Genomic DNA, 25802 nt, shown 5'->3' on the forward strand with positions numbered 1-25802 from the left:
GGATCACTTGAACCCAGGAGGTCAAGGCTGCAGTGAGCTGTGATCGTGCCACTGCACTTCAGCCTGGGTGACGGAGCTTCGAGATCCTGTCTCAAAATAAAATAAAACATAAAATAAAGTAAAATTAAATTAAAATAAAACAAAATTAAATATGCATTCAATGTGAAATGGCTAAATTGACAGTGCAATTAGCATATGCATTACTTCACATACTTGTTTTGTTGTGGTAAGAACACTTAAAATCTACTCAGCAATTTCTTTTTTTTTTTTTTGAGACGGAGTCTAGCTCTGTCACCCAGGCTGGAATGCAGTGGCGCAATCTCAGCTCACTGCAACCTCCACCTCCCAGGTTCAAGTGATTCTCCTGCCTCAGCCTCCTGAGTAGCTGGGATTACAGGCGCACGCCACCACGCCTGGCTAATTTTTGTATTTTTAGTAGAGACAGGGTTTCACCATGTTGGTCAGGCTGGTCTCCAACTCCTGACCTCGTGATCCGCCCACCTCAGCCTCCCAAAGTGCTGGGATTACAGGTGTGAGCCGCCGCGCCCAGCCAGCAATTTCTTTTTTTTTTTAAGCTCCTCCCTTTTCAGCAATTTTCAAGATATATTTGCACGTTATCGTGCCAACTGTATACACTTGCACCGTACATGCTAAACTGTGTAAATCCACTGTGGCACTGTTTGTAACGGCAAAAGATTAGGAACAGCCTGAATGTCACCCACCAAAAGGATGGCACCTATTAATTCTGGTCTATCTATATGATGGACTGCGGGAGGCAGCTCCGAAGTACAGACATGGACAAGCTCCAAGATTTACTATAAGTGGGAAAATCAAGACACAGGGCAGTGGAGCGAATCCCGCCAGGGCTCCACGTGAGTGGGCGGGTGAGCTGGGAGAAGCCCCAGGGTCTGCAGGCAGGGTCTGCTCTGGGAGAGGAACTGGGGGATATGGGTGGTACAGACATTCTTCACTATCTTTTTGTAGCCTTTTGTCCCAAGCACATACACACCTACCCACCGCAGGGTGCTTCAGAAAGGTGAAACGCTGCATACATGGTCTGATTTGTGCTTTGCATCTCGATTTGGATTCCAACAGGAGGCAATTTTGAGAAAGAGACTAAGATTACAGGTGAATGGAGGTTTCTTGAGGAAACTGCATCAGGGCATGTGTGAGAAATATCCCTAGATACAAGAAAGAGGATTATGGCAAAAAGAATTGGAGGAGTGCCAGAAGCCGGGCCCCTCAGCCACACCCGGGAACACTGCTCCCGGGTCATTCTCTTCAGCAGGTTTCCCACCTCCAGCCCTTGTCTGCACTCTCGTGGCTTTCCATAGCTCTACGGTCAGGCCCAAATACTTCACGCACCCTCACCGCCCCTGCTTTGGATCTCTGGAAGAGCAAGGCCCTTGTCTGAGTCCCAGGACTCGGCCATCCTCTGCCCTCCCCTGGGAAATGCTGAGCGCTTGGCCGAGAGGGCCCTCTGAGCTGGGTCCGTCTATTCTGGGACCACCCCAGTTCTATAAAATGAATCATGACCGCCCCTATCACCAGTTATTAATCATGATCCATGTTAAATGGTTTACACATGTTATCTTCAAAACAACCCTGGGAAGGAAAATTCCCTCACTTTATAAAAGCGGAAAGAGGCTCACAGGGCCCCATGCTGGGATTCAAGCTCAGGTCAGCCTCCTCCAGGGCCCACAGGAGTGTGCCTGCATCTCCCCACCTCCCTCTGTCTTTCTAAGGAAAATACAGATGCTCCCTGAAAGCCTTGTTATTTTCAGCGTTTCCCCAACCACAGGCTTGTTTGGATGGTCGAGATGCCTGCCTGCCTGCCGGGCACAGGTACATGAAACCTGAATTCAAGCCACACGTGTATCCTGGGGAGGACCTTTTGCTGTTTCCCTCTCACTCTGAGCTTCATAGATAACAGGAACGGCTGATATCTATGGAGCACTTAGGTATGAACACAGATCATTCAGATTCTCGTAAGATCCCACTGTACGAGAGAAAGTACCTTCCCCTGTTTTAGAGCAGGGGAAAATGAAGCTCAAAGAGGTGAAGTAACTCGCCCAGGTTGCCCAGCTGGCAAGGGAAAGAGCCAGGGACAGGGAGAAACGTGCCCGGCCAGTGTTTCTCGGCATGGATTGCCACTGCCTCTCTTCCACCTAGAATCCTGCATTTATAATCTTTCCCTCCCACCTTCTAGGCTGGGGGTTCCCCACTGGTGCACAGTGATTAGGAGGGAGAGAAGCTTTACCACCTCTAGCAACAGGGATTGAGGCTGTGTAACAGGAATGTCCCCATAAAACCAGGGAAGGTTATTAAACGTTTCAAAGTGTACCTGAAAACTTAAAAAAATTCCTTCTTTATTTTCATTAGGGGTTCCTAAAAATCCTAGCTTCCGAAGTAGGCTAGGCGGGGGTGCTCCTGCAAGCAGTGAGACACAGACAGAGGACCCAGCATCAGGCCTCACGCCCTCCCTGTCAGACGCCCATGAGGCCGACAGGGTCACTTGGTGACTCCTGCGGGACAGTCACCTCTGCTTCCTTCCAAAGCCCTGCCCTGGAAGGAGGCTGGTTAGTCACAGAGCCTGCCCCACCCCATCGTCTCTCTCACTCAAGTTCTCCCCTCCGTTCTCTGAGAGGGCAGCCTTCACCCTCGGGCATACAGAGATGCAGGACAAAGCCCAGGTTGGTTTCGGTAGGTTCTCCAAGTTTGCCAGCCCCTTCTTTCACTTGTTTTGGGGATGGCAGGGTATGTAGGAGGGACAGGCTCAGGCTCAGGAGTGGTGGCTCAGCCCTAACCCAGATTCCTCAAAATGGGGCCCCCTGTATCAGAACCCTCTGGACCCTGCCCAGATGCCCCTGAACCATGTGCCAGGAAGTTTTTTTTTTTTTTTTTCAAATAAATAAATGGAGTTTTGCTCTGTTACCCAGGCTGGAGTACAGTGGCACAATTATAGCTCACTGCAGCCTCAAACTACTGGGCTCAAGGTTCTCTTGCCTCGGCCTCCCAAGGAGATAGGACTACGAGAACACACCACCACACCCAACTAATTTATTTTATTTTTTGTGGAGACTGGGTCTCTCTATGCTGCCCAGGCTGGTCTGGAACTCCTGCCCTCAAGTGATCCTCTCGACTCAGCCTCAAGTTCTAGGACTACAAGTGTGAGCCCCTCTGCCTGGCTGAAGCAGCATTTTAACAGCTCCCCAGGTGATAACTGTCTGTGGACCCTGGGGCTCACCGTGCTAGTCTTCCGAGCATCATTTGCAGCCGTGTGGACTCCAGAGCAGGAGGGGGCAGCAGGGAAAGGCTGGCCTAGAACATATATGCCACATGTATGACAGAGAAGGAAAGGACAGCAATTGCACGGCCGAAGGAAAGAGAAAAACCAGCAACCAAACACGCCCAGAGAACTGAGTGGCAGGCCCAGGGCTGTTCTTGCCCAGTACAGGAAGACCCGGACATTCCTAATAATTCTAGGTAATCAACAGAAGATTGAAAAAGACAATCCTTCAGTGGCTTCCTGGTACTCTCAGAGAAAAATCTATGCACTTCCCCAGGGCCTACAGCTCACAGCAGGTGGCGGGGGGGCCTCCTGATCTCATCACCCACCACTTCCTGGCTGCTCCCTAGCCTCTGCCTTCCCCGAATCTGCCAGGTCTCACCTACTCTCTGCCTTTGCCAATGCAGCTCCTCCTGCTGAAGAGCTCTTCCCCCAACTCTCTGCCAGGCAAACCCTCCATTCTTTACGTCCAGCCTAAATGCCACCTCCTCAGAGAGCCCTCCCTGACTGCCCACCCCTTGCTGTGGGACATGTCTTTGTTTCAATTGCATTTGTTTTGTGTTTTGGCTCCTCTATCTCCCCTAGTATATGCTTCATGAAGGCAGCCATGAGGTCTCACTGTTGCTGTGAAACCTAAGGCACCTGGCACCTGACACATAGTAGGTGCTTAAGAAATTGACCAGGGGGCACAGCAGAGTGGGGTGCACAGCAGACATTCAACATAAGAAAACCTCTTTCCCCTTTCCACTATCCTAGGAGTGAGAATGCAGGGTAGTGTGTACTCTTTTCCAAGCAAAATTATCATCAAAAATTGCTAAAGGAAAAAAATAGGAGATTTGATGTTGCTGGGGGAAAGCATCAATTACATTTTCTCATGGGGTTTGCTGCCTTCTCCGTGTGTGTGACTGGCAGCTGTATTTTGCCCTGGTTTGCATCCACGCCTCTTGTGGTTAACAGCACGCACTCTGGAACCAGACTGCCTGGTTTCAATCCCACTCAACCACTTATTGGCTATTTTGGTCATCAGCCACCTTAAAATGTAGTGGCTTAAACAATAACTTCTATTTTCTCTGGAGGTTCTGTGGGTTGACTGGGCTCAGTTGGGTTCTCGCTTGGGGTCTGTCAGAAGGTGATAGTCAGACAGTGGTTGGGGCTGGAGTTACCTGACAGCTCAACTGAGCTGGTTCTGTGATGGCCCCTTTACTCACATCTCAGCTGGACCAGCCAAGGAGGCTGCCTGGGCCTCTTGGCCTCTCCTTGTGACTAGCTTGGGCTTCCCTCACAGAATGGCCGTCTCAGTCACAGTATGACAACTACTAAGAGTAGTTGGACTTTTTAGATGGCATTCGGCTTTCCACAGAATGAACACTTGTAGAGATTTAGGTGGAACCTGCAGGGCTTCTTATGACCTAGCCTTAGGAAATCATGAAGTATCACTTTTGCAGAATTCTACTGATCAAAAGTGAGTCAGAAGGTCAATCCAGACTCATGAAGAGAAGACTCCCAAGGCACGAATGCTGGGAGGCACAGGTCTTGGCGTGGTGGTGGGAGGAGGCAGTATCTTTGAAGACAAGCTACCATACTTGCTACATGATTGTCAGCAAATTTCTTAAGCTCTCTGTGCCTCAGTCTTCTCTTCTATAAAATGGGATAATTGCTCCTACCTCACAGAGCTTTTGTGAGGAGCAAATGAGTTAATAATATGTGGAAAGCACTTAACAATGCACTATGAGAGTATTAGCTATTATTATTATTACTCAAAAGAGTAAGGAGCAAATGTTTTTCTCTGATTAATCTCTGTATCCCAATGTCTGAGATATCCCGTGAAATGTTTTATATCATAAACATAAATATGAAATGCTCTATATGCAAAGTAAGTGAAGTGTCCTTCTCCCCATCAAATAAAATTTTTTGTTTTTCATCTAAAAGTCAAGGTTTCAAGTTTAGATAAAAACAGTCATTTCTCACAATCAATAATGCATTTGATGTATTAACAAAAACTCAAACTAGCTGCCGGGGCTGGCGAACGCTGTTGTGAGTCACAGTGGCGATATGCTCACATCAGGGCCGGAAGCAGTAACACTTGTGGTGTGGAATTTCCCGTGGCACCAGCGGAAAAGGAGTCTGGATGCGTTTGTCAAAACTTCCCCGAAACAAAAAGAAATCAGGATTTCCTGCTAGAGGCCCAAGTGGCTAGTGATGTCCAGGACCTCACAACCCAACCTCAGACTGGCCTTAGCCCTGGCTGGAAAACAGGATCTGCCAACAAATCATCAGGGCTGGGCCCCAGCCTCCAGGGATGGACACTTTTCTGTCACTGCCAAATCCAGACAAAGCTCAGAGTCAGGTCACTGAATGCAAACTCTAAATAAAAAAATGGCTTCATGATCCACGCCTGTGGCTGCATGTTCTATTCTACAGAATTCTCCACCACGTCCTCCCATACCTCCTACCCCTCAGTATTCCATGTGGCCTTCAGGACAAATTCGAGTCTCCTGCCACATGCGCCCACCTGCCATGGACCCATGTTCCAGCCACATGCACAGCTTCCGTTCCTCCAAGGGCCCTGAGCTCACATATCTCTCTCTGTTCTTTCATACACTCTTTCTGTTGTCTAGAAGAGATATCAACAGGAAGGGCAGCCACAGTTCTCTCTCCCTCGACTCGGTGCTAGGCAGAGGCTGTGGTAAGAGTGTCATGTCTTCGTCTCAGTTTGTCTGCACGCTGGCCTACAGCGCCCTGCCTTGGCTGGCTAGAGAGCTCACCCATCTCTCCAGCCAGGCTCTGATCAACAGCCTTTCAGAAGGATAGACACATAGAGCAATGGAAGGGAACTGAGGGTTCTTGGTCTTTTAGGAAAAAAGACTCATTTCTTTTTTGCATATGTGTGTGTTTTCCTCTCAAATCCTTCTTGTTACCAAAGCCTGAGAGGGGAAGTCATTCTTATCTGGACATCTCTAAGTGTTCTCTCTCCTTTCCCGAGCAAGCTTCAAAATCCGGTCTTTTGTCTTCAAAGTTCAAAAGTGGATGCATTTGTACTTCCCTGATTGTGGTCTGCTGGTGCCTTTTTCATTTTTTTCTGCACCCCTCTTAGTCACAGCTTGGATGTCCAGGCCCCATTTCCTAGCTCTGTCGATTCTTTTGAGATATGGGTTGAGTAAACCTTATCCGAAAAGGTTGGGACTGGAAGTGTTTTGGATTTCAGATTTTCTGATTGGGGAATATCTGCACATACATATATAATGAGAGATCTTGGGAAAGGGACCCAAGCCTAAACACTAAATTCATTTATGTTTCATAGACACCATACACAGATGGCCTAAAGGTAATTTTACAGAACATTTAAAATAATTTTGTGCATGAAACAAAGTTTGGATCGTGCCCCGTCACATGAGGTCAGGTGTAGAATTTTCCACTTGTGGCATCACGTCAAAAAGTTTTGGATTTTGGAGGATTTTGGATTTTGAATTTTCAGTTTCAAGATGTTCAACCTGTATTGTGTTTGAGCACCTTAGCTGTGTTGGCAGGCCCTTGAAACAGCCTGTTCCTGTTTATATCACTACCCAGGCGCCTTTTTGATTCTTGAGGGCTTTCCTTAACATCTCCTTAACATTGCCTAGGAGGACTTAAAGATGTTTGTATATAGACGTTAAAATGGTAATCAGTGATTCTGAAGTTTCTGTTATTGCCCGTCATGTTACCTGAAGTGCAGTTAGATCCTCCCGGCTTCATGTACTATTACTGTCCACTGCTTTTACCAGCAGGGCATTTTCTGTCCTTTTATTTTTCATTGTCTTCCCAGTTCTATTCATTGGTTTATAATGAATAGGCTGGGATTAAGAGGCGAGAGCTTAAACATCAGGAAAAGACACTCTCGAATTTTCATTTGACAGCTGTTGTTCCTGAGAGAATAAGTCGATCTGTTAGAAAATTTAGATAGAGCTTTTTCCTTCTAGAGTTATTTAAATTTTTAAAAGGGAGAAGCTGTACTATTTTTATTACCAAAATCAAGTCTATTGAAGGCTACGCAAAACCTCATATTCTCAAGAAACCATAGGAATAATCTGTGGTTAAAACAGCACCTTGAAAATGCCAAATGCTAAATAGATTGATAAGAATACCAGTTGCTACATTATAATTTTTCAAAGGATGTTATGATTGGAGTCAGAATCCGGAGGTTTGTACTAAGTAGCTGGGAACACACTTGTGTTCATGCTAACTCTAGAAATATATCCTAGATTATGTTTAGGTTCAGCATGGACTCAATAGTATTCTAGGAAACAGTATTTCAGCGGCCAGCATGATAAGAGGTCGAGTGGGAAGGAAAATGCTATGCGTGTGGATAAAGGTGCTCTTTCTTCTCATCGCAGAGTCAAACACCTGGCTGCTATCACCAAGGACAAAGGATGTTCTGAAGAGTGAACCAACTCAGATTTACCCACACACTTCAAGAAAGCAATTTAGAAAACCGCAGGAATCCAAACATTCTTTCATTGGCTACTAAAATACAAGAAAAGAAATCAAGAAAAGTTTGTAGGACTTTTAGGAAGCTATTACTTGATCAGAATATTATTATTATAAATATATCAGAACACTTTTATCCTTGCTTGATGGGAATTCAACACTTCACGTCAGCCAGGAAAGCTACAGGTTAGTAACTAAACTAACCTAGTCTGTTGTCCCTAAAGATTTTCTGCCAATGGCCAGGCATGGTGGCTCACACCTGTAATCCCAGCACTTTGGGAGGCCGAGGCGGGTGGATCACACCTGAGGTCAGGAGTTTGAGACCAGTTTGGCCAATATGGTTACCATACTGATTATCATTTTAACATTTATATACAAACATCTTTAAGTCTTCCTAGACAATGTTAAGGAAATGTTAAGGAAAGCCCTCAAGAATCAATATGGTGAAACCCCGTCACTTCTAAAAATACAAAAATTAGCCAGGCATGGTGGCAGGCACCTGTAGTCCCAGCTACTCAGGAGGCTGAGGCAGGAGAATCACTTGATCCTGCGAGGCAGAGGCTGCAGTGAGCACTCCATTGCACTCCAGCTTTGGTGACACAGCAAGACTCCGTCTCAAAAAAAAAAAAAAAAAAAAAGATTTTCTGCTAACCATAATTGAACTAAGGAAAACTTGAGGGGTAAGGAGTTTCCATACGGAGTAGTATACTAAAAATTGCTCCAAAATCAATTGCCCTCATGGGTTTCATTTATACGGCTCCTAAACAGGAGATTTAGATGACGTTTACTCCCCTGGAATGCTATGTATTTTTTTTTTTAAATAAATAGGGATGAGGTCTCACTATGTTGGCCAAGCTGGTCTCTAACTCCTGAACTCAAGGGATCCTCGTGCCTCGGCCTCCCAAAGGGCTGGGATTATAGGCGTGAGCCACCGCGCCCAGCCACTCAGCTTTTGAGGGTTAATCATCAACCGCACAAAGGGGAAAGGAGGAGCAGTGGAGGGCAGTACACAAGCGGCCACCTTTCCTCCTTCCCAGGCACAATGCCCATAAGGGAGGCAAAGACCCGCCAATAAAGTCAGTGGGGGATGCTTTAAACATCTTGTGGGGTCACAGTTTGTACCCAGTCTATTATCCCATGTTGACATTAATTCTTGGCAAAGGTGGGGCTGTGGTCTTATGAAGCTGGTCTTACGAAGCTGGGTGTAGGTGTGAGTATACGTGAGAACGTGGCACTGTTTGCAATCGTTTGAGCTGAAGCTGCTTTACAACAGTATGCATTCTTTGGGGTTAGTGTGTTGAAAATGTCAGCTGAGTGACTTCCACCACCAGCTGCGCCCCTAACACCGTGTGGCACCGGGCTTGGGAACCACAGCTGTGGCCCGTCGTGCTGTCATCGCTTGTGGCTCTGGGTCCTTCCCCACCTGTTGCTGTGTCCGTCGGTGTGGCAGGGACCGCCGACTGGCTGGAACATATATGCTATTTCTGTGCATAGGATGTGAGTAAGTACATGCCATAGTAAGTCAGACCAGGATATGAGTCAGATCATATTATAAAGTGATACAAAGAACTGATCTTCAAAGCATTCTGGAAGCATTAATCCACGTGTCAACACTATTGTAAGGGAGCTACAGTTTGAAAGACACGATTACTAAGCAAAGGAGAGACGCTGCAAGACTCAGGTGAACAGAACTGGCTAAAGGCCTACCAATGAAAACAAATGCATATGGTGGGAGCCAAAATCCGGAGGCCTTAAAATTTAGAGGTAAAAAGAAAGAGTTAGCAGGACCACATATTTCTCCAGCATATTCAGTCAGAAATGGAGAAGCAGTGAAACACGGGCAGCTCAGAATAGCTGTGGAACATGGGCCTGCTTTATTATCCATACTATCTGCAGAGCAACCTTTCTGGGGCTAAATTAATGGTCCTCAACTGACTCTTAAAAAAAAAAATTGATTGGCACTGAGGTGTAAAGACACACATAAAAAGACGACCATCCACAGCACTATTTGTAAGCATAAAAACTGATTAACCATCATGATGTCCACAAATCAGCAAAATGAACTATATTATGTCACTTTCATGGAACCCAAGTAGCTATTAAAAGGAATGAAATAATCTGAATATACTGGCATGGAATGATGTCCAAGGTAGACTGTTATGAAGAAAAATCAAGGTGTAGAAAATGTGCATGGTAATCCCATTTCTATTAGAAATGTGTTTGCATATGCGCAGGAAAAAGTCTCTAAGAAGTGAGAGAAAACCATTAATAATTGTTAAATGTGACAGTGAGTTTTTTTTAAATTCTTATTCATTGACTGAATCCTTTGCCATAAACATCTATACTTTTATAATAGAAAATAAAGCCAACAAGATATTTATGAATAGCATTAACCTGTTTTTTGGTGTTTTTTTTTTTGTTTTTTTTTCATAATTGCAAGGTTCTTGGAGGCCCGGGAAAGGTGACCTTAATGGCATTCCATAGCTGGCAAGTCCCTGACTGAAACAGTGAAGGCACAGCAGGCACCCTGGGAGGCCTCGGCTCAGCATAGCCCCGAGCTCTCTGCGGGACCACGGAGCAGCAGAGATGGCATTCCCAAAATGCCAAGAGAAAGGAGGGCTTATTGGCCTCGGAATCCCTTTCTTGACCCCTGTCACGGGACCCTCACTGGCCTATGTAACTGCACTTCTGCTTTGTGAGCTGTGGGGTGTTCACTGCCTTGTCATAACCTGCGACCGTGACCCCACACAGGCTTCTGCTCAACCCTGGCATGCCCAGACTTCTCAGCACGGTGCTACCGACTTGCTGTTCAAGGGGTTGTGAAGAGTTCTCAGCCAGAAGTGATGGCAGCGATGCATCTGCTCCATCTCCTCCCTCCCAGCAACCCGCCTTTGTTTCAAGGGCCAGGGCAAGGAAAAGACTTGAGCTGCCTCTGGACCTGTGATGGCAGGAACCCATCCTGACCCTCCCGATCAGGCATTTCCTCTCCGTAAGTCAACTCTGTCCTCTGGTCTGCCCCTGATGCCCCCTTCCTCCAGGACGGAGGGAGATAGCAGGCCCACCGGTTTTTTGTTTTTTTTTTTTTTTTTGAGACGGAGTTTCGCTCTTTTGCCCACAGGCTAGAGTGCCATGGCATGATCTCAGCTCTCCGCAACCTCCGCCTCCCAGGTTCAGCTCTCGTGCCTCAGCCTTCCGAGTAGCTGGGACTATAGGTGCCCACCACCATGCCCAGCTAATTTTTGTATTTTTAGTAGAGATGGGGTTTCACCATGTTGGCCAGGCTCTTCTCGAACTCCTGACCTCAGCTGATCCACCTGCCTCGGCCTCCTAAAGTGCTGGGATTACAGGCGTGAGCCACTCTACCCAGCAGACCCATCTGTTTTGACTACAAAGCACAGGCCTAGAAGCAGCTATTGCCTCAGCCTTGTCTTGTGAAGGCTGGAGAAACTTATGCTTCGGCACAAGCATTTTCTATCCTTCACAGATCCCCTCTGAATGCTTCATAATCTCTCCCTACCCCACAGCTTCCCTTAGGTAATTCCTACTCCTTCAGATCCTAGTTCCAATGCTGCTTCCTCCAGGAGCCTCTCCCAACACCCCCGAGGCCAAGCCAGGTCCCCTCACACCTCGATACCTCCCATTGTTTACCCCACTCCTCATCTTCATTTACTCATGTGTAACTTGACAAATGTCTTTCTCACAGAATATAAGCCTCTGGAGGGGGCAGAGTCTTTGATGCTATGAACTCCTGGTTGACACTTGGGGCCCCTTCAGCTGCCCAACAGCTGTCCTGGAGGACGGATAGAATAATATAGGGACAGAAATCCTCTGCTCACAGCAGAGAGGGCCTCAGCCAGCACTTGGTGGGGAGGGGCAGGGACAGGCACTGACCTCGGCTGATGCGCTGCTTCTCCCCAGAAAGGATGCCGGGGCTGTCGATGACGCTGATGCTCTTCAGGACCTGATTGGGGAGCTGTGAGCACATGAATCTGGAAGAGACGGATCAAAGGAGGGGTCAGAAACTGGGCATCACAGAGTGCTCCAACCATGGGGCTTCTTGGCCTCTCTGGGCTTACTGACATCTGTAAAGTGGGGGCCTGAAGGAGACTGACAGAAACTGAGGATGCCTAATGAAGTTGTTTGTGAAGTAGGAGCTTGGAGGAGATTGATAGCACCTCCATCCAGCCACAGAGAACAGATGCTGGCCCATGGGACAGGTATGAGAGGTGCACAAGCACCTGCTGCCATCTGCCACCTGATGCCTTTCTGTTCATTTTGATTTTAGCTAACATTTATTGAACATGCAGGTATCTTACAAATATCCTCTCATTTGATCCTCATATTGACCTCATGAGGTGAAGGAATTATGCTTAACATAAGAGAGGTTAAGTAATGCTCAGGGTCACTCAGAGCGGTGCCTTAAACCAAGGTCAGCCTGCCTCCAAAGCCATGGGCCTCACCTCTCCTGGCTCCATGCTGGCCCCTGCCCAAGCATCCTGGGCCTCTCCCCCTGGGAATCCCATGCCTTCTTCAGGATGCACTGGCCCACTGGGCTGGAGAGCCCCAAGCTCCCTGCCTATTTCCTAGCATGAAAGCTGAAGGGACTGGGGCCTGTTTCCCCATCTGATGCCCCAGGAACTTAGCATCCAGCCCAGTGTCCCCTATGGCTTTAGGGCCAGGGAGGGGCAGGCACCTGTGACACCCAACATCCTCCAGGTGCTTAGGAGTCTAGGGGAGCTGGAGAGTAGGTGAGGGGACCAGGTTGGGGAAGGCCCTGGCTGAGCATCTTTAGGCCCCTCTTGTTCCTCATTTGCCTGATACCATCTCCTCCTCCTGATCCTGGTCCCTTTCCCTGTAGTCACTGCCCTTGTATCCACTCCACGGAAGCAGAGTGCGGAGGAAAAATCTAGCCTGTGGGTCAGCAGACCTGGGTTCAAGTTCTGCCCAGCGTTTCCTGATAATCTGCTATGGGACTCTGGGTAAGGGCCTCCCTGCTCTGGGTCTTGGGTTCCTCACATGAAAATGGTGGCTTCCCGACAGGGTCTGGCGATGTCCTTTTAGCTTTCAGACTGAGTAACTCCAAAAGTGATGGCAGGAAGTGCTTTGTTACTTCCACCCTGGGCACCAGGGTCTGGGATGGACCTTTGTGAGGCACTGTGCATGTTTAAGGCAGAAAGTGTAGAATGCCTCTCCTTTTCCTTTACTATGGATGGCTGACATCTGTGTCTGTGTGGGCAGAAAGCTAAAAGCTCAATTCTTCCGTACGATGGAAGTGGTGGGGATTACTCACAAAGTAAAAATGCTGGGAATGCAGGACAGGGAGGCCTGGCCAGCCTCCACAGTGCACATGTGGACACCACAGCCCTGGGTATGAGCGGCCGTTACTGACATTTCAAAATCACTTTCTCTGAAGGGGCTTGGGATACGATTTTTCACACAGTCTTTCCTACATTTTCAAATCGGCCCAGGAAGATATAGAAAAAGACATTAGGATCCTTTTGCAGGTGGAAAAGTTGAAGCACAAAGCAGTTATGACATTCTGAGGCCATGCTGCTAATGCACGGCTGGTTGCAGACTGCAACCTACTGTTTCTGATGTCAGTGGGGTGGAATTTAACCCACAAAGTTAAAAACCTCATAACATTAAAAGTAAAGGGTCAAGTTAGTGGAAGAGAAGCCCCCAATTTCCACCTGTCTGCAGACACTTGTGCACAGTCCCCTCCTGTACCCCAACCTTTAAATAAACCCTACTACCCAACACGGGGAGAGGTTTGTGGGAATAAAGCACATGAGGCTCACCAAGCATTCTTTGTAAGTTCACAGAAAAAACCCCACCATGCCATTATTCAATTCTCTAGAATTGGGGTGGGAACAGGGCTCTGGGCACATCCGTGGTGAACCTCGTTTCTTGTCAGGAATGATTGTCTCTCAGTGCCGTCCCATTCTTTCCATCAGATGGCCCGAGACATCTGGCGGAGCTGAACATATCACACCTACGTGAAACAATTTTCTGCAAACCATTCCCGTGGACAGGCTGATCTTTTCCCCAAACCACAAGCTCACACTCAATATCCATTTTTCCAAAACAGCCACCCCCTAGATTCTCAGGTGAGGCTAACAGAGGGATTCAAAATTTGCACACTGTTCACTCCCTGTGTATAAAGTGACAGCCTTTCCACAGCTCCCAGGCCTCCTGACATGACAGCAGAGGCCAGGCACGGGAGCCACAGAGCAAGCCACCGTGAGATGTGCTGACGTCACCACATGGCATACAAGCGGGCAAAGCGAGGAGCCCAGGATGGCTGAAAAAGAGAGGATGAGGAGCAGCAGGTGGAGGCGGAGGGAGAGCTTTGGCTGGGGCACCTCAAGAGTGGGCAGCTGGGGTTTTGGGTGCACAGCTGGACTCTGCTCCCTGAAAGACAGTGTCCAGGGGTGAGGGGCAGGCAAGAGAACAGAAAGGAGCATTGAGACCCTGTGGTGCCACGCTCATGCTGCGAGGTGACAACTGCATATGAATGCATTCGTACGAAGTTATGCTGGGATCAGAAAAAATCCTAATGGTGTTCTAGCAATCATGCCTCATGCTTCTTCTCTGAGAAAGGGAGGCGCACGGCAAACGTACTTGCTGTGTGTATAACAGCAGTGCAGTGGTAGTCGTAGCCCAGTAGTGAAGAACCTGGGCTCTGCAGTCAGCACTGCCAAGTTCATGTCCCGACCCCATCAACTCACAGCCGTGGGACTGGGCAAGGTATGTCGTGTGACTCCTCTGCGCCCAGTCTCCTCCTTTATAAGCAGAGGTTCACAGCCCTACCTGTAAGGTTGTGGTGAGCCTGGAGTTAATGTGCACGGAAAGTGCTTTGAACGGTGCCTGACACCCAGTAAGGGGGCCCTGGCCGGCCCAGCTTATTGAAATGCTTCCAAGCACAGATTTGCTGTCCCAAGATGGATTTCCTACTCCTTCCTGGGGAGATTAACACAAGGAGGATCTGTGCCTTGCCCTCTACATTTCACGTAAAATATGCAGACACATGCTGGTTCAACCCAGGAGCCTCACATGGCCCTCACCCGAGGATGACCTGATAAATGTTGTCTTCTGAAGTAAGAGAAGAAGACGGAGCAACTGAAGATCCTAGGCTGCCCCCTCAACTCCATATCCTCTCCACGTCTAAGGAAGGGCCAGGGGTAGCAGAGATGGGGGATAAAGTAATGGTCCAGGCTATGAGGTCTCAGGCAAGCTGCTAGGAGTCCTGCCACACAGTAAAAGGAGAGAGCAAAGCCAGGCACCATGACTCTCCCTGTAATCCCAGCACTTTGGAGGCTGAGTGGGGACGATCTCTTGAACCCAGGAGTTCAAGACCAGCCTGGGCACCATAATGAGACTTCGTCTCTACAAAAAATAAAATTAGCCGGGCATGGTGGCATGCGCTTGTAGTCCCAGCTACTCAGGAGCCTGAGGTGGGAGGATGGCTTGAGCCCAGGAGGTCGGAGCTGCAGTGAGCTTTGATGGTGCCAGTGCACTACAGCCTGTGCAACAGAGTGAGACCCTGTCTCAGATAAATACATACATACATACATATCTACAGAAGGAGGGGGCAAGGAGATTACTTAAAATTTCCCCCAAACACTAAAATTCCAATTAAATGATCAGCATTTTAAAAACTAGACTTTTAGAAGAACCAGACAGTACCTTAATACTGATTTTGATTTCTCAACAAAACAGTAATATCTGTAGCAGTTATAATAATAATAAAATAGCACAAACATTTCCTCACCTCTTACTGGGTGTCAGGCACAGTTTGAAGTACTTTCCATGCACATTAACTCCAGCCTTACTGCAGCCTTACAGGTAGGGCTGTGAGCCTCTGCATTTAGAGGAGGAGACTGGGCACAGAGCAGACACATGCCATAACATGCTGAGAAGTGATGGAGCTGGGACATGAACTTGGCAGTGCTGACTGCAGAGCCCAGGTTCTTCACTCCTGGGCTACTATCACCATGGCACACACTGGAACCACTGCTGTGTGGCATATCATGTGCAGGGCAACATCCTAAAACAAAGGGGTGACGTGCCACAGCCCTGGAACTTGCCCCTAAGAGGCTTCCTTGTGTGGTTTGCTCTCTACCTAGTGGTGTGGAGTGTCTGTCAGGGTGGGGAACAGGAGGTAGGAGATTTAGGCTCCAGACGTCTCCCTTACTCATTCTGAGACCTTGACCTTGCACAGGTCTCTAAACCTCTCTGAGCAATTCTACCAGGCCTGCGGACTTCCAGGTTTGCCATTAGGTTCAAATAAACCTAAGCTTACAGCGGAGAGAGTATAGAATTGTTTCAAAGTACTTCTTTTCACCCCAGCCCACTTTATTGATGAGGGTAAAACCAGAGAGATAATACAACTTCCTAAATTTGCACAGTAAATAGAACACAACCCACAAAAAAGACTTTGACAACTGAACTGTAATAATTCTTATTATATGGTCCTACCACAAATGGCTAATCTTATCTTCCAGTGCCTAGGAAGAACTAGGAACTGAATTTCACATCCAGATTACAGCAAAGCCCCTGGTTGCCCTATTAGATTGAAACTAATTACCACTTTTAAAGGTTAAAGATTATTTAAGACTGCCAATTTCATATGGTTCAACCTAAATATGTACTTTTATAAATCCCCTCCTGACTGCCACAGGGGAAAGCCCAGTGCAATGGCCCAGCCAGGAAGGTCTGCCTGACCCCAGGGAGAAAGGCATTTCTGGAATGTCAGGACCAGAAATGTACAGGCAGCTGCTAGTCAAGAACAATGGTTTAGGCCAGGCGCGGTGGCTCACGCCTGTAATCCCAGCACTTTGGGAGGCCAAGGCAGGTGGATCACGAGGTCAGGAGTTCAAATCAGCCTGGCCAACACAGTGAAACCCTGTCTGTACTAAAAATACAAAAATTAGCCGGGTGTGGTGGTGAGCACCTGTAATCACAGCTACTCGGGAGGCTGAGGCAGAGAATTGCTTGAACCCGGGAGGCAGAGTTTGCAGTGAGCCAAGATTGCGCCACTGCACTCCAGCATAGGTGATGGAGCAAGACTCCGCCTCCAAAAAAAAAACCACGATGGTTTAGTGACCAGGGAACTACCACCCAGGGAACCACCACAAATCTTTTTTATTATTGTTATTTTTTTAGGGACAAGGTCTCTCGCTATGTTGCCCAGGTTGGTCTCAAACTCCTGAGCTCAAGTGATCGGCCTGCCTCGGCCTCCCAAAGTGCTGGGATTATAGGTGTGAGCCACCGTGGCTGGCCAACAAATCTTGAGGTTAAAGAATAATGGGGAAAGCTTCAGCAAGTTTATTATAGATAAATGAACCACAATACACATGCACAAGACAACCCAGTTATTCCCTCAGATTAAAAAAAAATTATTTTGCTGGTGAATCAAGAGTCATTCTTGGCAAAAGCCTGTTTTCCTTAATTTCTGCAGCTAAATTGGCTGGGGGAAGCCGCACGTGCTTGGACTGATGCTGTGAACTTTAGTAAGTCAGTTTTTAAAAATTCCCAGTGGTACACAGTGACTATCAAATATTCAAAACTTGGCTAGGCACAGTGTCTCATGCCTGTAATCCCAGCACTCTGGGAGGCCAAGGCGGGTAGACTGCTTGGGCCCAGGAGTTCAAGACCAGCCTGGCCAATATGGCAAAACCCTGTCTTTACAAAAAATACAAAAATTAGCTGGGCATGGTGACACACGCCTGTCGTCCCAGCAATCGGGAAGCTGAGGTGGGAGGATTGCTGGAGCAGAAGTTGAGGCTGCAGTGAGCTGTGATCGTGCCTCCGCGCTCCAGCCTGGGCAACAGAGTGAGACTATATATATATATATATATATATATATATATATATACACACATACACACACACATACATATACATAAATTTGGCCAGGCATGGTGGCTCATGCCTGTAATCCCAGCACTTTGGGAGGCCGAGGCAGGTGGATCACCTGAGGTCAGGAATTCAAGACCAGCCTCGCCAACATGGTGAAACCTCATCTCTACTAAAAATACAAAAAGTAGCTGGGCATGGAGGTGGGCACCTGTAATCCCAGCTACTCGGGAGGCTGAGAGAGGAGAATCACTTCAACCCGGGAGGCAGAGGTTGCAGTGAGCCGAGATTGCGCAGCTGCACTCCAGCCTGGGTGACAGAGCAAGACTCCATCTCAAAAAAATAATAATAATAAAATAAAATCAAAACTCAAAAGCTAAACTGAGTGAAGCCTCGCTTAATTACAAATACAGAAGTAACAAATGGAGTAGAAGGTCAATAATACACCTGCGTATTTTATGATGGGGGAATCACCATTCAAGCATAACACAGTGGTTGTTTATCATCACCATCATCAGGCCCAGCTAAAATGACTGAGCCCTGGAAGGGCTGTTCACATTCCTTCAGCTCAAAGGGAAGTTTCAAAATTTCAATTCCCAGGGCCAGTGATTCAAGTTATTTTTTAGAAAGAAACAGAGGCAATGAGGAAGTACATGAGATTAAGAATTTCTTCTGTGGAAGATAACAATTTAAAATAATACTAGATCCTAGACAAAAAATGTCTACAGCTATCTGAATTTGAAAATATACACATTACCATTTTTTAGAAAAGGAGACTGAGGAATAACATAACATCTTATTCAAAAGCAGACTGCAAGGGGAAATGTCAGACCCCAATGCCTGGCACTTCCCTGGCGTCTCAGAGGATCCAATGCTCTGGGTGCCCTTGGCTGTCTCCTCCTCTGTGAGGGGCAACTGCCTCCTGATAGCAACCTCTGGAATGTCAACAAGCACCTCCCCAGAGCTGCTCCCAGATGGGCCACTGAGGAATTCGTCGTGAGCACAGCAGTCTGCTAGAGTTTCAGAATGTCTCACTAAAGCCATTTCCATAGACCTCTGTGTGTTCTAAACTCCTTTTATTGTTCAAGTATGGAATTTCTCTAATATAAACCTTTTTAGGAATTTATCTTCATTTCTCAGAAATGCACCATAGACCCCTTGTCGCTCCTTAGAAGCCAGCCTGGGAGGCTGTGACTCGGGCTTTGCTGGTTTGCTTAATGGTGGAGGGTGTTGTCCCCCTCCAGGTATCACCTGGTACTTAACTCTTTTAAAGATGCCCCTGGGGGCAGATGCCCAAGCCAGCACTCCTTAAGGAGAAGGCCAGGTAATAACGATCTGTCACAGGGAGATTCTGGTGTGGCTGCTTGGGAGAGAAAGTTCTCCGCAGAAAACAAGCAATTTTCTTTACTAGGTGTTACATTTTGACCTAGTTCCCAGAGAAGTATGCTATGTGAAAAGAGGTTTGCCTCTAGTACTAACCCTGTGCTGTTCCCAGACGGAAGCTATAATTATGTACACATATTTGAACGCCCTAACTAATTGACTCTTTCTTAAATAACTGCTGTGTGATGCAGTGGCACTGTCCTGTGGATACTACTTAATGAGGCTGTTTACTCTTAAGTAGCTATGAGTTTACATGAGGCATGTCCCTTACACGTGAGCCTGACACACACTTGGCTAGAAGGACAGAAACTCCTCTTGGCCGATGCTGAGCAGAGGCATAGGGTGTGGGACAGGGGAGAAGGGGAACACTGGATTCCAATCCCCTCTCTGCCTCTTCCTGATGGCCTCTCCCTGAGCAAGTCATGTCTTTGCTTTCGGCCTTCTCATTTGTAGATTGGCAACAGTATTGTCTGTGTTATCAACGCCAAAAGAATAATGTACATGAAATTACGTAAGTGATGACTTGGGACATAATCACCGTCATCTTCATCATCATTACTGGAGGGCTACATTAGGAACAGCCTTACTAACCCTAACCCTAACCCTAACCCTAACCCTAAGAGTTAAATAGGGGGCACTGGGCAGTGATTCCCAGTCCAAACATCATACTATTGGTCAGCTGGCCTGGGTTCCAGTCCCAGCACTGATCTCACTGGTGGAGTGACCCCCAGAAATTAAAGTAACCTCTTTATGCCTTGATTCCTCCCCCTCCATTGAGGATAACAGTAGCATCATGTCACAGGGGTTCTGTGAGGATTTAAAGCTAATACACAAGTCTAGAACAGAATCTGACACATAAATGCCATATAATTATTTGCTATTATTTTTCTATATGTTATTCTGAATTCAACTGACACTTGCTTTTATTATAAGGCATGGATTATTTTCAGCAAGTTTTAAATTCTGAGACAAGAGCTTTGCCATTCAAAATCGTTCCTAAAAATTTCTTTTCTGTACTCATCTGTCATGTGCTTGGGATTTGAGAAGAAAAAAACATTTTTTTTTTTTGTTAGGAAAGTAAATCATTTGCCAAAATAAAGCAAGCCAATAACCACTCTTCCTGGTTTCTCCCTTGTGAATTCAGACTTCACAAAGTGGGAATTTGAAAAAACTGGCAGCTTATTTCGTTAAGCCTTTGTTGGGCAAAAAGAGCCCCAGACAAAGGGCAGTGGCAATGAAACCAGAGGACCCCAGGGAAGCCTTCCACAGAGACAGATCCTGTGCCTTGAACTTTCTGGGGCCTCCTGTTCTGGTCTACTTCCCCTCCACCCTGGGCCACTCTGTCCTGAGAGATCTGGAGAGTTGACCCTCTGGGGTTCTCCCGCCCAGGGCTTAACCCCCTCTCCCACAATGAGACACTCTGGTGCCAACCAAGTCAGCTCTGGAGTTGAAGAGTAAACTCCTCCTAGAAAAGTCAGCCCTGCAGGTTGGAAAAAAATCACCTGGACAGTGTTCCTATCACCATCAGTAATAAGATGGAACTCCTCTGGGACTCCTTCCACATCACCTGCAGGTTTCTGTTCATCCCACTGCCAAGTTCCCTGGTTGCTTTCTTTGATTTGCAATAGGATCATCAAAAAGCCCCTAATGGAGAATTCAGCTCCCCGGAGAGTTCCATCTTCCACAGAAGGCACCTGCGGAGGGGCCTGGGTGGCCCTCAGCCGAGCCAGTGCACAGCATCCAGCACATCATTCATTCCCCAGGCCACATGAATGGTGCCCCTGGAGCTGCGCGATGAGGCGCTTCGGCCTTTGGGAGGACAGCAGCCGGCTGGGAGGATCCGTTCCTATTTTTAAAAACTTCTAGAAAGGAGATGTGGACTGTCAGCTCTAATGCTACTTCCTCTCCCTAAAGAGGCTCGGATGACCCTCCCTAGCTCTGTGCCTCCTACAACCCACTCCTCCAAATCAGCCACACGAAAGCTAGACCCAGGAAAGAGGGAAATAGAGGGGTGGGAGAGGGATGATAGGAAACAAGAAAAAAGCATTACACAAACGCAAGGGGTAGCAAATAGGAGGTGCAGGAGGGAGGAAGGAAGGCAGATCCAGTGGGAAAGGGCAGAGTTGTAGCCAGGGGTACCAGCTGGCCTGTCTTCCCCAGGCCAGCAGCCCTCAGTTCCACTGGGAACTCTAATGAAAGGTTATGGGAGGAGTACAAATAAAACACATCTCCAAGTGAGGCAGAACCTCAGTGACCCCACAACTTTACATCTATAAAATAGTGACCACGTAGGCTGGGTGTGGTGGCTCACATCTGTAATCCCAGCACTCTGGGAAGGCGAGGCGGGTGGATCACCTGAGGTCAGGAGTTTGAGACCAGCTTGGCCAACATGGTGAAACCCTGTCTGTACTAAAAATACGAAAATTAGCTGGGTGTGGTGGTGGGTGCCTGTAATCCCAGCTACTTGGGAGGCTGAGGCAGGAGAATTGCTTGAACCTGGGAGGCGGAGGTTGCAGTGAGCGGAGATCATGCCACTGCACTCCAGCCTGGGAGACAGAATGAGACTCTATCTTCCCCCCCGCAAAAAAAAAAAAAAAAAAAAAAACGACCACGTAAGAAAATCAGCTTTTCATGTTTTTCACTCTGTTTCCCTGGCCCTGCTCTGATGAATAAGGAAACAGCTCAAAGCTGGGAGTGAGAAGCAAAAGGGACAGCCAGGGAGGTGAGGGGTCCTGTTCTGGAGTCAGTGGGTAAAATCCGAGTGTCCGGTGAAGGTTAGGGGTCCTCTGGGCTAAGCTCTCTGACTGCAGAAGCCCAGCGCACCATGCCTGAGAGGTGTCTGTCTAACCAGTGCTTAACATTGCCAGTGACGAGGAGCTCACTGCCTCATGAGGCAGCCTAATCCATTTCTGTGCAGCTCAAATTATTAGAAATTTGTTCCTTATACTGTAAGCATTTTTATTTTTTAACTTTTAAAATTTTTTGCAGAGACAGGGTCTTACTTCGTTGTCCAAGCTGGTCTCAAACTCCTGGCTTCGAACAATCCTTTTGCCTCAGCCTCCCAAAGTGCTGGATTACAAGCACGAGCCACACACCTGGCCCTGTGCAGCCTTATAATGTCCAGTTCTGGGCCTTAGCTCTGCCCTCTCAAGTTACCCAGAATAGGCATAAATGATTATTTCCTATGATAGTCTTTCAAATATCTTAATATGATAAACATATTTTGTATGACTTCTAGAGCAGAGATTCTTTGTTCTTCTGTTTTTGAACCTTTATATGTAACTGGCAGTAATTCAAAGAAAAGGTTTAAACAGCCTGACCGAAGATGGCAGCTTGCTGGTCCTTACCGATTCAGGAAAGCGTTTCCAAAGCGACTGAGCTTTCTAAACGGCTTTTTGGGGTCCACGACTAAAGCATTCCCTGGGGTGCTGCCCTCAGTCTCTCCATACATCACGGCGATGAAGGAGTCTGTGGTGGGCTCCGGACCAATCCTCATGCCTGGGAAATCCTGCTCCAGTAGGTATCTGGGAGAGGGAAGAAGAAGAGAAAGCTTAGCATCTTATCACAAAGTAAGAGGCCAGAAAGCTGCCTGGGATTACCAATTTTTTTACATAATCATTTAAAAACGTAGAAACATAACCCCCAAGAAAAGCACGCAATCCTCCTCTGCATTTCTGTTGATGCAACAGACGCTACCCCAAGGGAAGTGTACCGTGCTGGCTCCTGGGCATCCTGGAAGCTCTGCTCAGGCTCAGCTCCCTTAGGGGAGCCTCCCTGACCTGCATGTGGGGACACCTCTTTTGTGGTCCCTGGGCACCCTGTGCCTGCTGCCAGCGTGGTGCTCAGCATGTGTACTACAATTACTTGTTTATGGGCCCTGCAAGGTGTCTGAGCTGATGAGGGCAGACTCATGTCCCAACCATGCCAGGAGGATGATCTTCGTCTTATAAGCCTTGAAGGGGCTCAAGGGAAAAAACCTGCACAGCCTTCTGCAGCTCCCCATTCCTGCAACTAACAATCTATTTGGTCCTAAACTACTTCTTTGTTTCTAAAAAGTTTTGACTGATTCTAATGTAAGCCCACAATCTGTGACTATTTCCAGGGAAAGAGAGAAAGTGCTGAATTCTATCAAATGCCAAATACAATTTTTCCATCTTTAAAAGAATGAGAAATTAAGCCACCATTTAGACCTATGTTTTCTATGTAAATAAAACTGAAAAAAAATTTTTTTTTTTGAGACTGGGTCTTGCTCTGTTGCCCAGGCTGGCTGGAGTGCAGTGGTGCAATCTCGGCTCACTGCTGCCTCGACCTCCTGGGCTCCAACAATCCTCCTGCCTCAGCCTCCCAAGTAGCTGGGACTACAGACACATGCCACCATGCCTAGCTAATTTTTTGTAGAAACAGGGTTTCACCATGTTGCCCAGGCTGGTCTTGAATGCCTGGGCTCAAGCTATCCCCTCACCTTGGCCTCCCAAAGTACTGGGATTACAGGCATGAGCCACCGCAACTGGCCTAAAACTGAAATTGTTTAGCAACCTTAACGGGCTATATTCTAAACCTTTAATTGATGTCATTGCTAGTTTTCACTTCATCCAAAGTTTCTACGTTTCTGTGAAGTTGTGGCACCCCAGAATAGATACACCATTAAAATATGTCTCCTAAATTTACAGTAAATCTGATGATATCTTTTATCTCTAAATTTAGAGAAAAAAATCTGCTAATAGCACACGGCATTTACTGAGTGCTTGCTATATTCCTGATATGGCGCTGAGCCTTCTATATTGTTTCACCTCATGCTCTGAGGTGGATGATGACATTACCCTCGTTTTATTTACAGGTGGGAAAACTGGGGCATCAGAGAGGCCAAGCGGCTTGCCCAAGGTCACACAGCGGATGTTCGAGTGGAAATGGAATGCAAGCATTCAGACTCCAGAACTTGCACTGTCTTCAGAAATGGCCTCAAGTTAGTGGTTTGCTCAGGGGTGAAGAGCAAAGCAAAGTTCAGGGCCTCATCCCAGGGTGTGTCACTTGGCATGAGGGACGAGGACCCCCATTTCCTCTCAGCTGAGGGGAAGAGCTCTCCACAATGTCCCCCTGCACGGTCCTCTGGCTACCCTGACAACAAGGGCCAGCTCTCCCTACTCTCCCTGGAGTAAAGCTGGGCTCAGGAGGTGCTACCGTTTCAAAATGTGTTCAGCTTTAATTTTTAAAATATCTTCAAGAGTTTCTCCATCAAAACCTCTGTATCCCTAATAGCCTAGAAATGTTCGTGTTGATCAATTCTTACACATTCCACACAAATCTGAGAAATGCTGGTAAAAGTTACTGTGAGGGATGCCCACTCTGTGAAACTCCAGCCTCTATGGAGTGGATGCAGAGCGTGTGGACTCCATATACCCATGGGAATGTGGAATTTAGGTTTTACAGCCCCTCTGGGATCTCAAGGGTGAAGACATTCAGCAGCGAGGCTGGAATTCAAAGCCAGATCACACTCTTGCCTCCACTCACGTCCAGTTTGATTTTTACGCCCTGTGGCCTGGATGGGGCTATGTCTGGAGGCTGGTATGACTGAGGGAGGAGAGACTGCTGGGGAGGGAGGGGCTTGGGAGAACAGCAGCCAGTGTCGCCCAGCTCCCCGCAGCACACACAGTTCGCAATTCACGAAAATGTGAGGTGCGGGAGTGGGTTTGAAGCTTGACAGGCACTTTGCTCCAGAATCAGTGCTAATAGCAACGGTGGGCTGGCCAAGACGGCCTACAAAAGGTCACACACACTGATTAAAGGGATGAACCAGACGAGAACTGCAGCGTGTGCTTTTTGGGGAAGAGCTCGGTGTGGAGCTCCACCTTGGGTGGCTCGCGGCAACACGGCCCCTTCTCGGCACCTTCACCAAGCCTGGCCAGGAGGAGGCCCTTCAGATTCCGGGCCAGGGAGGTGAGCATACGGATATCGTAGTTAAGCAGTGAGTCCCCCAGCTGGACAATCACTCACACAGCACAGGTGTTGAAGTCAGACATCACTGTCGAGGAGTGCCTGAATTACTTTCTGATGTTTCATTCCTGTACAAGTACAGCAAATCCCACTACTTTTGAAATAACAGGGGTTTCAAGGAAAAATATAAATGAAAAAATTGTTTAAAGAAGAGCAGATGTTTCCTACATTCAAGTTTATATTGCAATCGAAGCCAGAGTTTTCTAAGTAGCGACCCTACTGGACAGACCTTTAACAATAAATCATTTTTAAAGTGTGCTTCAAGTGTGAAATAATTTGAAGTCAAAGGTGTCCCCCTTTGACTGTGACCTTGGTAAATCAATCTCTGGATCTCAGACACAGAGGAAGAACTAGAATTAGGAAGAATTACTGTATTATAAAGCTTGCTTGCATTATCAATTTGTTTGGTGATACTTTCACAGATAATACAAAGTTAACATTCAGTGTTCAATTTCACCATCAAAGAAATACCAGTAAAGACAGAGCACATTAACAAATTTTTGAAAACTCGGAATCATCAATGCTGGCAAGGGTCCTGTGAGATAAACACCCTTATATATGTTGGTGGGGGAATAAGTTGGTCTAACTTCACTAAAAAGCAATTTGACACCATGTGTTAGAAGCCTTTAAAATGGGGGTCTTGCTGGGAGCGGTGGCTCGTGCCTGTAATTCCAGCATTTTGGGAGGCCGCAGTGGGAGGATCGCTTGGCCTAGGAGTTCGAGACTAGCCTGGGCAACATGGAGAAACCCCGTCTCTACAAAACATACAAAAATTAGCCAGGTGTGGTGGCGTGCATCTGTAGTCCCAGCTACTTAA

The 25802-nt window shown here is 47.3% G+C and overlaps 1 protein-coding gene and 1 long non-coding RNA gene across 3 annotated transcripts in view, besides 2 other annotated features; one reads left to right on the top strand and one right to left on the bottom strand.

The window, feature by feature from the left end:
* Window positions 1-25802, bottom strand: part of EHD4 (EH domain containing 4) — a 76625-nt gene that overhangs the window by 35490 nt on the left and 15333 nt on the right. For both annotated transcript variants that reach the window (NM_139265.4, XM_047432408.1), the window contains exons 2-3: window positions 22342-22518; window positions 11645-11742 (exon numbers count right to left, since the gene is read on the bottom strand). In NM_139265.4, coding sequence (NP_644670.1) covers window positions 11645-11742; window positions 22342-22518 — 275 coding nt within the window. The remainder of the gene's footprint in view (window positions 1-11644; window positions 11743-22341; window positions 22519-25802) is intronic.
* Window positions 5863-5922: an enhancer, noted in NCBI's record as "active region_9292". NCBI's record gives its function as "activates an Ori minimal core promoter by ATAC-STARR-seq in GM12878 lymphoblastoid cells {active_cell/tissue: GM12878}" and the evidence as "EXISTENCE:reporter gene assay evidence [ECO:0000049][PMID:35858748]".
* Window positions 10954-11811: an enhancer, noted in NCBI's record as "H3K27ac-H3K4me1 hESC enhancer chr15:42234574-42235431 (GRCh37/hg19 assembly coordinates)". NCBI's record gives its function as "activates a minimal SCP1, AML or CMV promoter by ChIP-STARR-seq in naive H9 embryonic stem cells {active_cell/tissue: H9 hESC(naive)}" and the evidence as "EXISTENCE:reporter gene assay evidence [ECO:0000049][PMID:30033119]".
* On the top strand, window positions 11685-25243 carry LOC124903477 (uncharacterized). The gene is made up of 2 exons (XR_007064603.1): window positions 11685-11970; window positions 23832-25243. It is a non-coding gene; the product is annotated as an uncharacterized LOC124903477 (long non-coding RNA).

Source organism: Homo sapiens, chromosome 15, assembly GCF_000001405.40.
Source record: "Homo sapiens chromosome 15, GRCh38.p14 Primary Assembly".
NCBI lineage: Eukaryota > Metazoa > Chordata > Mammalia > Primates > Hominidae > Homo > Homo sapiens.